The sequence below is a fragment of the Homo sapiens genome, chromosome 3 (genome assembly GCF_000001405.40).
Source record: "Homo sapiens chromosome 3, GRCh38.p14 Primary Assembly".
NCBI lineage: Eukaryota > Metazoa > Chordata > Mammalia > Primates > Hominidae > Homo > Homo sapiens.
Genome location: NC_000003.12, coordinates 93,997,419 through 94,014,287, shown reverse-complemented (window position 1 = coordinate 94,014,287; position 16,869 = coordinate 93,997,419). Strand labels below are relative to the sequence as shown.

Below are 16,869 nucleotides of genomic sequence, written 5' to 3'. Positions count from 1 at the left end.
TACCTTTCATCACTGTTAAGTTGTAATTTTCCCCTTTAACCCTAACCCACTAAAATTTCAGAAACTTCTGTAGCCAGTTACATAAAACACACTTTTATTTAATTAAAGTACAAAAAAATACAGTTACCATCAACTCACAAATTAACTATTGAAAATGAGATGCATAATCTTAGTCTTCTGGTCAGGTATCAAGCTCTATATTATACATTTCTCTCATGTGTTAAGTAGTAATGACTACCTAGGCAATCCATTTGGCTGACTGGAGAATATTTTAATAGTTAAGAATCATGCTACAATAAAGCTAAACCAAACTAGAACCTTTATCAAATCTTTTCTCTTTTGAGACAGAGTTTCACTCTGTCACCCAGGCTGGAGTGCAGTGGCATGATCCTGGCTCACTGCAATCTCCACCTCCCAGTTTCAAGCGATTCTTGTGCCTTAGCCTCCTGAGTAGCTGGGATTACAGGTGTGCACCACCACACTCGGTTAATTTTTGTATTTTTAGTAGAGGGGGTGGTTTTGCTATGTTGGCGAGGCTGGTCTCAAATTCCTGACCTCCAGTGATCCGCCCCCCTGGGCCTCCCAAAGTGTTGGAATTACAGGTGTGAGCCACCATGCCCAGCCCTTTATCAAATCTTTTATCCTCAGAAGGTAACTTAACTCAATGTCAACAGATCAGGGAAAACTCAACTATGTACTTGAAGAATCTAATTTGTAACTGGGAGCTGAATCTAGCTTAAGGAATAAGAAGATGAGTTAAGGTATTGCTTTCTTGAACTTGGGTCCATACAGGGCAATGTATTACAGACTGGCAGATAAAGTCAAATTAAAGGCAACTGTATTCTTGAATATTTTGCCATGACTTTAAGATAATGCTATACTATACTATAAGCTAGAGATACAGTCTAAATTCACACAACACGGGAATAGAGTTTTGCAACTCACATTCTAATGGAGAAAGCAGATAAATACAAATATTAGATAATGTTAAGTTCTGGGCAGAGACTTAAAAGGGCAATGAAATGAGACAGAGACTGTCAAGGGGTGCTTCTTTAGATTGGGTAGTCAGCGAAGACCTTTCTGAAAGGTGAAATTTACTTGAAGATCTGAATGAGTACAAGGGAGGGTATAATTCCAGGCATAGGAAACAAATAGTACAAAGACCCTGAGGAGGGTCTGACTAACTCTGTGCAAAGAAAAATAACAATCCAGCTGGGGCATAGTCAGAAAAGAGCAGTGAGATATGAGATGAGGTTAAGAAAGGTCAGCAAGGGCTAGATGTAAGGTTTTGTAAGCCATGGAAAGAAGTCTGAAGTTCACACAAGTGTAATCAACACAAGGATCTCAGATTTTTCTAGACCTAATAGTAATATTATATAATTTACACTTGAAAAAGATCATTCTATCTACCATATGAAGAATGGGTTAGAATGGATTTGGGAGAGGTGAGTAGAAGACAAGCACATAGGTATAGAAAACAATTAGAAAGTTAATGCAGTAGGAAGAAATGATGGTGGCTTGGACTAGGATGGAAGAGGAGGTGGTGATGGTGGCAGCAACAACAGTAATATCAAAGAGGAATAAAGTATTCGCAATGTCCTACTCATTGTTCCAATTATTTCAGAGTAGATAAAGTATGAAGTAGACACTATTTTTACAATTTTACCAATATGAACACTGAGGTGCAACAAAATTAACTAACCTGTTCCAGGTCACAGAAACTGCACATAGTGAATTGGGATATGAACCCAGGCAGTCTGACTCCAGAAACAGCTCTTAACCATTCTCTTACTACATACTATATAGTGGTGGTGGAAAAAGTTAGATTAACTTCTGATAGATTTAAAAGGTAGAATTACAGGATACAGATTAGATGATGATGCCATTTCCTGACATGGGAAAAGTCAGAGACGAAGGTTTCAGAATTGGCCATGAGAAGGAAATCAAAGATGCTATCTTGGTCCAGAGAATCTGAAATGACTATTAAAAGGTCCAAGTGGAGGTTTTAGGATATTAGCTATATCAGTAGGAGTGCTTGAGATATGTCAGGACCAGAAGTACAGATTTGGGTCATTTTAGTAAATAAATGCTATGTAAGGTGGTATGAAAAGTATGTGGATGTAAAAAACTGGAAGTGCAGATAAGGGCCTGGAGTATTTCAAAATTTAGACTCAAAGAAGAAGAGGAGTTAATAAAAGAAACTAACTGAAACTGTCAATGAGGTACAAGGAAAGCCAATGCAAAAGGAGAGTTTAAAGAAAGAAAAATGTGAAGAAACAGTCAACTTTAGGTAAAATAAGAGCAGTAAAATAACAATAGATTTGGCAGCACAAAGACAATTATTGACTTCAAGAAGAGCAGTTTCAAGGAATTATAGAAACAGAAGCACAAATGGAGTCTGCAGAGGAAAGAATGTGACATGAAGAAATACAGCAGCCACTACAGGCAATTCTTTCCAGAAGTTTGAATAAGGTACTATAAAAAGTAATCAATAGCTAGAGAGATATGTAGAGTGAAAGGATTCCACTATACTTCCAGGCAAGAAACATGAAAGCACATTCTGCTGACAGGAAAGATCCAGAGAGAGAAACTCCTCACATAAGAAAGGGAAGGGATACTATTATGTAAGAGCAGAAAGAAGTGGAGTATGAAGCACAAATGCAGAAGCTGGACTTGGGTAGAAAGAGAAACCCTTCTTCCATACTATAGAAGAAAAGGCAGGGTTTAGGAATAAAAGCAGACAGTTGAGTAAATGTGGTAGTGGAAAAAATGAGAATACTCTTGTGCGATGGTTTCTATTTCCTTAAAGAACTCAGGCAAAAACTGAAAGCACAGTGGGTTTAAGGGAGAACAGAATGAGAGGACAAGGAGGGAAACTGTCATTTTGAGAGAACAACAAACATTCTAAGAAAGATAAGAAGATAACCAGGCAGTTATGATAACTTTAATGTAAGATCAGCCATCACAGTCACGTATTACTAATCTATCGATGTTTAGCATTTGTGTGCTAGCACAGAATGTGTAGATGACTGGGTCTAAGCAAGACAGTGGCTTTTCCAGGTACGTATGATGAAGGAAAATATGTCAAGAGAGGTTGAGGTATTTGAAATGACTGAATTTGTATATGTAAAATATGTATTTCATAAACAATACAAAATAATTTTTAATTTATAAAATATCACAAAATTGAAGAGCTTTCTATGGTGTCAATTATCAAGCATCGCTAGAGAAAAAGATGTTTCACGTATCTCCGCTTCAAATATTTAAGAAACATTATTAAAAAAAGATAAACTTAAAAGATGATAAACTCCACAGCTGACTAGTGATAGACGTCTCTCTGTTGTTCCTTCTAAAATTTTTTCTACAGCCTTAGTGATACCTGTTTGTAATTGTTACTAAATTGTTTATCATGAAAACTGATAATATTAAGTACTATTTAATATTCATTAGTACAATTATATCCAGATGAATTTGTAAAATAGTTATTTTCTTTCAGCATTTTATATTAGAACATACTGCTTTTAAAGCAAGACTTAAGCACAAAAAAAATCATCACAAAGCAATGTATCAGAAACCGTTTTCATTGTTCTCTTTTCAAACCAATTAGTATCACCTTAATCTAAACAAAACAGATAACATGATAACTTAATTAGTTGTAGCATTTTGTGTATTTTATATACACACTTAATAGGCACTAAAAGTCATTATTTTTTCTTAAGATAATAACCTTAAAGGGAAAAAATTATTAAAAGAGGCGAAGGCAAAATATTGCAATACTGAAAGTATGCAATAATAAAAATAAAAATTACTATGAGCACTAAAGCTCATATTCATAACTACTAAACTGTGCCATTTTCTGTAATTACAAGCTTCATAGAGCTTGAATTCGTAAGATGAAATACTTTGAAACATTAGGTTCTCCTAATTCTTCTACACTTGGACACAGTATATTATCAATAATAATGATATTCACATCCACCATTGCATTTACAGAACACTAGTGAAACACTGTACTACAGGCTTGAGAGGCTTTAAATGCATTATTTGGAATTCACATAACATGACATATTATAATCCCTATTTACAAGTGCAGACATAAAAGCTTAGAAAGATTAAATAACCTACTTAGGGCCTTTCTGACTTAACACTTTCTCCTACACCAGTAGTTCTCAATTTTTGCTATAAATCAGAATGATCTGGAGAGCACGTATGGAAAAAAAGCCCAAAGTATATCTGGTCTCACCCTCAAAAATTTTGAAGGTCTAGGCTGATGCTGATGCAGGTGGTCCATGGACAATATCTTGCTACGTAGTAACACTGCCAAAGAGTTTTTTTCTGTTATTTTGTTTTTAACTAGATTGAAGTGATAGGGAAGGCAGGGATGGGGACCTCTGCAGGCTCCCAGTACTTAAATTACCTACAAAATCAATTGGCTGAGAATCTTTACTGTAAATTACAGCTGCTATGAAGCTGAATGTCATTAAGAGACAAAAGGAAACATTCAGTAAGGACATCTGGAGATGAGTCAACAGTATAAGTAAATGACATTAATGAAGATGACAGTGTGGTAACGCTCCACTGAAAGGAGAGAAATCTTAAGCCAATAGACCTTATAAATTCAATAAGTAGGGGTTTCAGAGGAAATTAGGGGACTCACCACTCTATCTAAGGATCAACTGATTATGTGACATAGGCAGACCGTAATTCCATATCTATAGGTCTCCAGCATTCTAAAACAGGACTCAGATTCTTCTATTATTTAAATGTTTAACATACTAAAAGTATGTTTGATTCAATTTCTGATAACTGTATTAGGATAACCATAACCTATTTAACTTCTCCTGGGCACTTACAATACGGAATATGACTAAAAGAAACTTGCAAACTAACATTTTGCTGTAATACTGCCTAGAAGGAAGGTGAGTCAAATAAGCATATAAAGGTTGGAAACAAACAAAAAAAATCTCATGTTGAAAAAGTAATAATTAATGTCTGGCTATTGTTTCTCCTAATATGGAAAATCACTGACAGGGTTTTTAATCTTTTTAGTCATAAACTTCTTTAGGATCTGCTCACAAGAAAAATGTACATACACTTGGGATTCTGTGTATGATTTCAGAAGGTCTTGGGAGACCACTCATGGTGCAAAGACCAGGGTCAAGAATATCTATCTATCTATCTATCTATCTATCTATCTATCTATCTATCTATCTTTACTGCTCCTTGAGGAGCAGGGCTACCCCATACGCAGTGTGCCCAGAGTAGCCAAGAAACTTTTTAATTGGAATGCTCATAACATCCAGTAAGATCAAATCAGAGATATCATGTTGTCTTCCCCAAGTGAAACTATACATATATCACTTTTGCTGTAATCATTCAATTTGTGAAGACTGGCCAAAAGTTAAGGTAGTTCATGTAACTCCACAGAAAAGCAGGCAGTGTGTAATGAGAAAAGTGGCACCTTCCAGTAGTTTGAGAATGCTAATACAAATAGAATTGTTACCCTAAAAGAAAATTTTAGCCTGTGCCTCTCCAGGATAACTTTGGTTAAAAGCATTAGGAGATTCAACTATAAAAAGAAGGGGTAATTTATTATCTCTCTGAGGCCAACTTTTAAGACTCCACGGGTACTAGCGAGAGGGGGTGTAGAAAGAGCATATGCTTTCTTATGACATCAGTGTAACCCTGGACTGCTGAAAATTTCAACAGATTAAGCTGTTTAAAATACCTCGCAGCTCAGTTTATTCCTCAGGTAATCAACAAATCATGCCTTGTACTATTAATGGAAAATGTCTATACTGGATGTTGAGCTTAAAATTTGGTATTACTGCTGGCACTATTTATAAAGTTGCAAAACCTGTTTACTTTTTCTCTTGGAAAGGCCTTCTTTGTCAAGACTACCTAGTTTGAAGGTTTTTTGTTTGTATTTTTAAAAAAATTTCTGAAGGGCCAGCTAGATTAATTAAGCTCTAAATAGTTAAGGGGGGTGGGGAGCAGGCAAGAGTAGATAACGTAATTCATACCTTACAGTACAGGCTAAAGTTAATTTCTAAATAGTTGATGTGAGAGAAAAAGGACTTTGTAGATTAACATGATTGCAAAGCATAATGTTTGCATGGCATTTATTTTTACTCTCTTTAAAAGGAATGCAAATCATTTTTAATTTTCTATTGAAATTGGTTCTGGTTCATGCCACTCTACATAGCTGAATACACAGAATTAGAATATTTTACAGTTACTTTTATTATAGAAGAGGCATTTAACTAAGCCCAAAGAAGTAAAGTGACTTATCAGGGTTATCAACAAATTCACAGTAGCTCTTAGAATCCAGGTTCCAGACTCTGTCTTCTCCCTAAACTTTTCACCACTTATTTCAGAAGAATTAAAATATTATGCTGATTAATAAATGCTATACAACTGCCAAAAAGAACTTCTGAGCTAATAAAACAAAGAAGCCTAGTGATATTCTGATTCTGACTTTTCAAGAAAAACCTCCAGTCTGTGACATCAAGTAAAATCTGGCTGATATGGTTTACCTCTGTGTCACCACCCAAATCTCATCTTGAATTGTACTCTCATAATTCTGTGTTGTGGGAGGGACCTGGTGGGAGATGATTTCAATCATGGGGGCAGTTTCCCCCATATTGTTGTCATGGTAGTGAATAAGTCACACGAGATCTGATGGTTTTATCAGGGGTTTCTGCTTCTGCATCTTCCTCATTTTCTCTTGCCACCACCATGTAAGAAGTGCCTTTTGCCTCCCACCATGATTCTGAGGCCTTCTCAGCCATGTGGAACTGTAAGTCCAATTAAACCTCTTTTTCTTCCCAGTCTTAGGTATGCCTTTATCAGCACCATGAAAACAGAATGAGACACTGGCCAAGGCCTTATTTGCCATCACAACATGCTGTCAGGCTTGTGTGTAGGAGCAAGTAGAGAAGAACTAAAGATTGTCACAACCTGCTACTGTGGTCATCCACTCTACTTCCCACAAATAACAATGAATTCAGGCTCTGTCAATTTGTAATTTTGTGATTATAGAAAAGTTTCTTAATCTTTAGGTTTATTTCCTTCTATTAAATGAAGCTTTTCAGAGGTCTTGTTTTCTGCTTGCTTGTTATTGGGGGTAGGAGGAGAAAGTTATCCAAGCATTAAAATGACTTCTAAGGCACTGTGCGTTACCTCAACTAGTTTAGGCTCAGATAAGGCGCGGGCAGAAGAAATTAGATGCTGTAAATATTTGGCATATGAGTGGTCCAGATGTCTGTGGGCACTAAGGAGGAAGCTGTGTGCAACAAAGAGAACTGCCACCTGACTCTAATACAGGTATCCCCTCCTGCTACCCTTCTACAGCCCCCATCCCCTAGCACTGAGCTTAGCACAGTTCTGCTGAACATCTTTTCTACTTATTATACAGCAGATCTGTCAGTGCCAGACCTATTATATGCCAGGCATTATTTCTAGTTGCAGAGGTTATGTTAGTTTAAAGAAAGAATTTCTTATCTGCATGGAACTATGAAAGGAACTTGAAGGACTTTAAGCTAAGAAGCAGTAAAATTATCAAAATTGTATTTTTAAAAGTCTCATATTCTTTACATATTCTTGTATTGTTTCACTGGTCATAACAAGCATGTACCAGTTTTGTAATCTGAAAAATATCAAATAAAGAAAAGAACTGCTGGCAGTGTAGAGGAGAGCTTGGGGGGCAGGCAAGACTGGCAGTTAGAGACTGGTTAAGGGACTGTTCCTATCAGCAACACAGGTGATTAGAGAAGAGGAATTGAAGGGAGGTAACACTAAAGGGAAATGGAGTAGTGAAGAGATTCAAACGATAGTAAGACAGTAACATCAATAAGAGAAATTAATTGCAAGTCAGAGAGAAAAAGGTAAACAGGAGAACTTTCAAATATGGGGCTTGGTCAGACATTCAAGAGGTGTTTATAAACATATCAAAAAAAAGAGTAGGATACAAAATTTTATTTATTTATTTTTGAAACAGAGTCTTGCTCTGTCGCCCAGGCTGGAGTGCAGTGGCGTGATCTTGGCTCACTGCAACCTCCACCTCCCAGGTTTCAAGCAATTCTCCTGCCTCAGCCTCCCGAGTAGCTGGGACTACAGGCGCGCATGCCCGGCTAATTTTTTATATTTTTAGTAGAGACAGAGTTTCACCATGTTAGCCAGGATGGTCTCGATCCTCCTGACCTCGTGATCTGCCCTCCTCGGCCTCCCAAAGTGCTGGGATTACAGGCGTGAGCCACCGTGCCCGGCTCAAAATTGTATTTATTATATGAATACTGTATACATTACTTGTCTCATAAATATACATGCATAGGAAATTCATCAAAATGCTAACGGTGGCTGGCCCTGGATGGTAAGTCAATCATGTTTTTAAACATTCTTTTCCACATATGCACAACTATTAAATATCAAAAAAAATATACAAAAAACCTTTCCCTCTATCTTTGAAATTTACTAAGAATGTGTACTTTTGTGTACATTTTGTATATTTTTGAATCACATTCCTTCCAAAAAGCAGTTTACCTTTAATAATAAAATTCTGATTGTAAAAATCCCATGAGAAAATCTGGTCAAATGGCAAACGATTCTATATTTCATAAACATATTACACTGTCCATAATTAATTCTTATATCTTTGTGAATTCTCACTAACTATGAGTTTATAATGGTGAAGCAATCACAGTAGTTCTGTATTTTCTTTTCTATTCAGGAAATTCACTAGCTGAGAGAGGTGACAGAATTGAAAGCAAATATTTTGCTGTTATTTGATTACTCAGTAATCACTGTAGTCACTTAACAACTGTATACCCCGACTTTGAGCCGTTTCCACAGATATCTGCATGACTGACTCCCTCATTTCAAATGTCAGTTTCTCAATAAGGCCTATTAGGATCATTCTAATTATAAGAGCAACAGACCCTTGTCATCACTACCACCATAGGCTTTCTGATATTCTTTTACTTGTTTGTTTTCAATACACTGATGATCTAATATATAATGTAACTTATTAATTATATTTAGTCTGTTATCTCACCCCCTAGAATGTAAGCTCCTGAGGTCTAACTTGGATTTTTGTTATTTTTATTCCCAAACACTTTCCCAACCCTTGGCAATGTTGTGATTATAGAAAAGATTCTATGCTTGGCAACAGTAGATGCTCACGTAAATATTTGTTGAATTAATGCATGTATTAATGAATAAATCCAGAAAAGAGTAAATGAAAAAAATTAAATGACTAGTTTTAAAAAAGCACATAATATTGTTTTACAAATAACCATCATTAATATTTTTTACTTTAGTCTAGAAATCACTGATTCCCTGCTTAAACATCTGTAAACACCAATTTAGCCTATGGGGTTCTGCAAAGTTCTCTCTTCATACATATCCCTGTTAAAAGTTCTCCTTTAGATTCAATAAAACATGAGAATTGCTTATACAAATCAAATAACTTCTCTAATTAAATATATAAAAATTTAAAAGTATCAACTTTAGCAATAAATTATATAATACAGTTTTAACTTTTGCAATCAGAGCTTCCAAACCACCTCATTTAAAAATGTTCATTTACTACTGAAGACCACTGAGAAACTCTACAATTTTTCATCTAACCACATGACAGGTTGATTTTTTTTTTTTTTAATCCTTAATAATGAACCACAAGAACAAGGGAAAAGGGACAAGACGGCAAGGGCAAATATTTAGTTTACTACAAGTTAAAGAGCAATTTAAACTACTTTCAGTTTGCTATGCCTCACGGTTATAGCACCATCTACTGTTTACCATGCATAAATGCTATGAGGGCTGGTAGTGCAAAAGTCCTTTGTCACTTCGTTTTTAAAAAATGTTCACCCACATGGACGAAATCATATAAGTGTATGCCTAATTTGATAACAATCACATGTCCAATATGGAAATGTAGATGTGAAAACTGAGAAATCAATGTGGTATTAGAAAAATAAACTGTTTACATAACTCTGAAATAATAACTCTTTAAGGAAAAAAGGACAAAAGCAAAATACAAGTTACTAAAAGAGAAAAAATTAAAAGATATTTTAGAACCTTGTTAATGGAGTATTTCAAAATGCAAAATTCTATAAAAAGTAAACTATCACATAAAACAATGAGTTTATATTTGAATATCGAAGAGATCCACTTTTAAGAATTCTATAGCCTTAGCCCTTTTCCCCTATAGACAGCACTATAACAAGGCCTCAGTAAATTAACAACTCCCAGTTAATTACATACATTTTAGTATACTAAAGCGTGACTATTTTAGCTTATTCACTAGTCTGTAACAGGTAAATTTCTTTAGTGGCCAATGCCATCGTCCCTACATTTACAATGATGCTAACATTACTTACACCAATATAGGCTTTCCCGATATCCTAGGATGTCTTAGCATTTCTGACATAGCCTCTTTTGTCTCTTCCATTCTCTCTTCATCACTGGAATCCACAACAAATATTACCCCATAGGATTCAGCATAGTAATTCTTCCAGATTCCCCGAATTCTTATTCCACCTCCCAAGTCAAAGATGGTGACTTCAAACTTTCCTTGTCTAAGGTTAATTTTTGAAAATCCAACAGTAGGAGCTACATCTTCAGGGTATTCTGTTACAAATGATACACAAAAAAAGAAAATCTTTAGACTTTAATTGACAACGTTAATTTTTCAACTAAAATTTTAGCACCCAAGTGAAATATTTAGCATTCACTGACACAATAAACATTATTTTGAAGCATACTGGTTTGGGGACAGGCCAGAATATCAAACTAGAAATTTTACTCCATGCAGATAGGAATCTTTCTTTCCCCTGATATAACACCCACACCTAGTATATAATAGGTACTTAGTAAGTATCTGTTGAATTAATAAATGAATAAACTCTTGCCTTTAAGGCTATTTACTGTCCAAGTTACAAACAATAAAAATGTCAACCTTTCAATACCATAGCCATCCCCAGGGACTATTAAAACATCTGTGGAGTTATAAAGAAAACCATGAACACTTAGAGAATAGAAGAGTTTAGAAGAATCAAAGAATGAGAGAAGCTATAAAGAATAAGGCCACTCTTTTTTAATTAGCTGAATTAAAGTTATATTTACAATAAAGAGACGTTTAAGGGCAGCTTGCAACAAAAAGTAGATTTCATTCTTTCTATAGGAACATATTTTGGATGTTCCAATAAATACATAATTGAATTTTTTTGGATTTCTATATACGAAAACATAAAGAAGATACAGGAGGTATATGAACTGCCAAGGAGTGATAATGACAATAAGAGCTTTAAAAGATACCTGAGGATCTTAAAAGACCTCATTGGAGAGATAGAATTTAGGCCTTAAAGCTGTATAGGATTTAAACAGGCAGAAGAGGAAGGGAAATGGCAAAGTAAAGGAATATGAACAAATTGAACATTGTGCCTACAGCAAATCCTTAAGATTAGGAATGCAAATAGAAGAGGGTTCTGAAGATAGAGAACAAGGAATTATTGAAAATATCTGGCAGACCAATGATATAATTAAGGTGACTGAAATAGTGCTTTATTAAAATTAATCTTGCAAAAGTCTCTAGACTGACTGGAAGTGACAGTAATAGCCTCTTTTCAGAGAGGCATGAAAATAAAGGAATAGAAAAGAGAACTCATGAAAGATTAATGGCATACTGACTCATGGCTACAGAGAAAAGTTCAAACTTTATATTTTTCTGTTCTATTTTTTCTTCATCACTGGAATCCACTATAAATATTATCCCACAGAAAACATTGTTCAGAGCTGCATGGTCAAAACAAAAGCCACAAGCCACACGAGGCTTTTTAAATTTAAATAAACTAAAATAAAATTTAAAATTCAGTTCTCAGTTGCATCAGTTACATTTCAAGTGTTCAAAAGCCATATGTGGTGGCTGGGTACAGTGGCTCAGGCCTGAAATCTCAGCACTTTGGTAGGCTGAGGCGGAAGGATCACCTGAGGCCAGGAATTTGAGACTAGTCTGGGTAACATCTAGAGTTTAAAAAAAAAAGTCACATGTGGCTAGTGGTCCACCCTACTGGACAGAGCCAATATAGAACATTTCCATCATTGCAGAAAGTTCTACTGAACAACACCGGTGTTTAGAGGGTCTTATTTCCACATTTAGCAAAACATTTGCTATTACAAAGATTAATTTGAAAGGCATTCACTAAACTTAGGTGTGACTGAGAAACAGACTTGCAACACACCAATCTCTTGGTAAGCACCTTAGTGAAGTTTACACAGCACCTGAGAAAGTTAAGAGCCACTACAAGTCATACTTTTGCTAATACTTTCATTACCTAGAAAAAGAAAAAGGTAAAGTTAGACATATAAGCAGAATGATTTTCCAGAAATAGGATTATACTAGGCATTTAAAAATGTGATCTAAGCTTAACCAGAAGTAGTTTGTGTGGATAAAATAGGCAGCTGTCTTTCAGTATGAATAGAGAGGAACCCCAGGCAATCATCAGTGAAAACAAATCAACTATGCTGAAGTAGGAATAAGGGAACTAACATGTATCAAACACCTCCTTGGTACCAGGACTTTGTTAGGCATCAAGGGTGCAAAGATGAGTAAGATATGATTGCTGTCCTCAAAGTACAATGTAATATAGAGAAGTGGAATATTAATAGGAATAACACAGAATTTGTATGTTCTTTAAAAAAAATAAGCTAGAGACGATAGTGTGTAGGAATTCAAGGGAAGGAAGGTGAAAAAGGGAGGGGCAAGTTATGGTCTAGAAAGGCTTTCAGAGAAGAAATAAAATCTTGAAATGAAGACTTCATTGTGAGTGAACACATAAAAGCTACATAATTGTAACAGAGAAGGGAGAACTATATTTTAGGCAGAGGGAGCAATTTAAGTACAGATAAAATGATGGCAATATGCCCAGTAAACCAATTCAGATTAAGGATTTTTTTTCAAGGTTATATAGCAGGCAGAGACAGGCCTCAAACAGAGGTCTTCAGGACTTCCAAAGCCTGTTTCTTTTGATATATGGAACACCTTCTATTCTTTCCTCTGGTTCCTATTCAGCATTTGTGTTTCACAACTTAAGACTAAATGTTCAGGTACAACTTTCCCCATAAATCCTTTTTTGATGATTCCTCCTACTTCTACTATCACCTTTACCTCTATCATAATATTCTGTCCTCTACTGATCTTCACAATAGCCTATACCTTCCCAACACATGGGACTATGTCTTTGTATCCTTAGCATTCAGCACAAAGTATATAGGGCTCAATACTACACCACCAAACCACTGAGATAACTGAAGCTCCTGTCCCATACATCCACCCTTTCTTTTTTCCTTTCATGTATTTATCCATCTATCCTCGTACATGTATTTAGGGCCCATTATAGATGATAAATCATACAAGAACCAGGAATACAAAGATACATGGTCTCCAATTGAGAATTTCAGTAGAGTATATGTGGTAAGACATCATCTCTAGAAAGTCCAAGATAAAATGCAAATATACAATCAATAAATTTTTGAGCATTTCTTATAAGCTAAGTACTATGCATGGTTCTAGAAATACAAAGATTAATAAAATCCATCTTCTGATCCCATAGAGCTCTTAGTCTATTGGGGAAATATATATATATACATATACACACACACACACACACATACACAAATAACTACATATGAAACATAAATATATATATGAGTAACTATAATTTTTTTGTTTTTTTTTTCCTCTTCACAAATCACAAATAACTACAATATAATGAAGACATGTTAATACCCAACAATGCTAGGGACCAGTCCACGCAAAGAATTTTCGCACCAAAAATAACAATAGTTCCCTATTAGGAAACACTATCTGATAGTCAAGAGAATCCTAGATTTTTTTTTACCTAGGCTCATGACTGCTTACAACAGACCATAATCCCCAACTACTACGGCAGCAAGGGGTGGCCATGAGGGGAGGCTAGCCAGTGATGTGTTGTTAAATATTTGGAGGAGAAGAACCCTGATACATGTATGGTATCTGCCAATTTCCACAGTATAAATACTTTGACCATGGCCAATTTCAAACTAACAATGTGAGGTACCTAAACATAGAGTTGGGAAGAGATATGCATAATCGGCTCTCACTAGTTGATATGAGCCAATATGAAAAGCAGGTCCAGAACACCACTGCTTCTAGTCATGATGTGAACTAAAATGATGCAGCAGCTTTTGGTTCAGCTCCTAAAGAAAAGGAGGATGGCCTCCCCTTACCCTTTACCTCTTCCTTCTAGCTGAAATGCACATTTTGTAGTGAACTACCTTCAACCATGTAGGTGAGGGAGAACACTGGGGATGGCAAAGCAAATAGAACAAAGAATTGAGGACTAACACGATGGAGCTGACAAACCAGTCCTAGACTACTTTTGCTTAGGCTGTTATGAGAAAGAAAGAAACATCTATCTTGTTGAACCACTGTTATCTTAGGTCTCTGTGAGAACAATTGAACCTGTGTCCAACTAATGCAATTACTGACAACCATGAAGAAGAGAAGTTTGATTTAAAGAAGTAAAGTTCCAGGAAGGGGTGTTACTTTTATATTAAGAAGCTATTGTGAAAAAAATTTAGAAAGAATGAATAAAACCTAGTATTTGAAAGCACAACAGGCAGACTATAGTCAATAATAATTTAATCGAACATTTAAAAACAACTGAAAGAGTAACGCAAAGAATAGATGTTCAGGGAATAGATACCCAATTTTTCATGACGAAATTATTATGCCTTGCATGCCTATACAAAAATCTCATGTACCTCGTAATATATACACCTACTATGTACTCACAAAATTAAAAATAAAAAAGGGAAAAAAAGCTATTGTGAATAAAAAAATTAGCTAGGCATTGTGGAGCACACCTCTAGTCTAGCTACTCTCGAGGCTGAGGCAGGAGGATAGCTTGAGCCCAGGAGTTTGAGATTACAGTGAGCTATGATCACGCCACCGAACTCCAGCCTAGATGACAAAGTGATACCCTGTCTCTAAAAAACCAAAAAAATATGACCAGGCTCAGTGGCTCATGCCTACTATCCCAACACTTCGGGAGGCCAAGGCAGGAGGATCACTTGAGGCCAGGAGTTCAAGACCATCCTGGGCAACATAGTGAGACTCACCTCTATAAAAAATTATAAATAAATAAATAAATAAATAAATAGAATATGAATTAGAAAAAAGCTACTGTGACATCATAGATAAAAGAAACTGAGGGTTTGGATTTAGCCAATGGCAACACAGTCAGAGGAGAGGTAGACACATCTGAAAAGAAACTAGCAGATAACTTTTTCTCAATTTCACACGGAAATAAAAAAAAAAAAAAGAAGGCTGAGAAGTCAGAAAAGAATCAGAAATAAGTAGAAAAGTAGGAGCCATGAGAGAGGTGTTTTAAGAAGACCTAGGCGCATGGCCTAAACAATTGTGACACCAAAATAAGCAAAATGCCTTTAGAGAATTTACAGCCTGAAGAAAAAAGATACACAAACAAAATGTAATTAAGTAGTGACCAAGTAGGTATCAGGAAGAGCAGGCCAAAAAAGTGGACATGATCAATTCTACTAAGTAAGGTAGTAATTGGGGCAGCTGGGAATTAAAAAGGACTTTATAAAAGAGGAGACTATACGACAAAAATACATCTTTAAACATCAGTAGATATTCTCTCTAGTTAGGTAAGTGAGAACAACACAAAAATATAAAGGAAAGAGAAGGCTTACATCTGGGAAGTTTCAAGTAGTTCTAAGAAATTATAGTCCTAAAAAAATTTCAAAGTAAGAAACTGAAGAGTAAATATGGGATGAAGGACAAAAAGAGAATGGGGAGTGGGGCTCGAAGTTGAAGGCAGCTTTGACATTAAGCATTTTCTAGACTCAGAAAAAGGAACTTATGAATATATGGAGGTGGAATACATAAGAGAAAGAAAGGAAAGAGGATGTTCTAAGTACACCCAGTATACATAACAAATTAGGTAATCTGATTAGCACATTCTAAGGTGCCTGCTCCCATGAATGTCAGGCTTTAGAGGAATGGATAAAAGAAGGTTAGAAGAAGGTGTCATGGCCTCCAGGTCAAATCTGGTTTGCCACTTGTTTTTGTATGGCCCACAAGCTAAGAATGTGTTTTACATTTTAAATGACTAAAAAAAATTAAAAGAAAAATATTTCCTAACACATGAAAATTATATTAAATTCAAATTTCAGTGCCGGAAATAAATTTTCAGTGGAGCTTGGCCATGCTCATTTGTATACGGATTGTCTTCTTTTTTTTTGAGACGGAGTCTCACTGTTGCCCAGACTGGAGTGCAGTGGCGCAATCCCAGCTCACTCAACCTCCATCTCCGGGGTTCAAGCAATTTTCCTGCCTCAGCCTCCTGAGTAGCTAGGATTACAGGTGTGTGCCACCACACCTAGCTAATTTTGGTATTTTTAGTAGAGATGGGGTTTCGCCATGTTGGCCAGCCTGGTCTCGAACTCCTGTCCTCAGGTGATCTGCCCACCTCGGCCTCCCAAAGTGCTGGGATTATTACAGGTGTGAGCCACCGTGCCCAGCATGTATGCAGATGGTCTATGGCTGCTTTCACACTACAGTATAAAAATTTTGTAGTTCAGAAGGAGACTGGATGACTGCAAGGTCTAAAATATTTACTACTCAGCTCTTTACAGAAAAAGTTTGCTGACCACTAGTTTAAATAATGATAGTGAGTGTCCTGTGAAGATATAACGTAGAAGATAGCATAGACATAGGCTTTAGAAAAAATCATAGACAATAACAGATAATTTACTTAACATTACAGAGTAGCATTTGAGGTGAGAAAATGTTTTTTTCCAACAGTG

General features: G+C 35.9%; 1 protein-coding gene across 14 annotated transcripts in view; it reads right to left on the bottom strand.

Annotated features, from left to right (window-relative positions):
- ARL13B (ARF like GTPase 13B) overlaps positions 1-16,869 on the bottom strand; it is a 75,524-nt gene that overhangs the window by 41,391 nt on the left and 17,264 nt on the right. For 10 of the 14 annotated variants that reach the window (XM_011512533.3, XM_011512535.3, XM_006713532.4 and 7 more), the window contains one exon: positions 10,380-10,629. The exons of the other annotated variants lie outside the window; for them this stretch is intronic. In XM_011512533.3, coding sequence (XP_011510835.1) covers positions 10,380-10,629 — 250 coding nt within the window. The remainder of the gene's footprint in view (positions 1-10,379; positions 10,630-16,869) is intronic. 14 annotated transcript variants of the gene reach the window in all.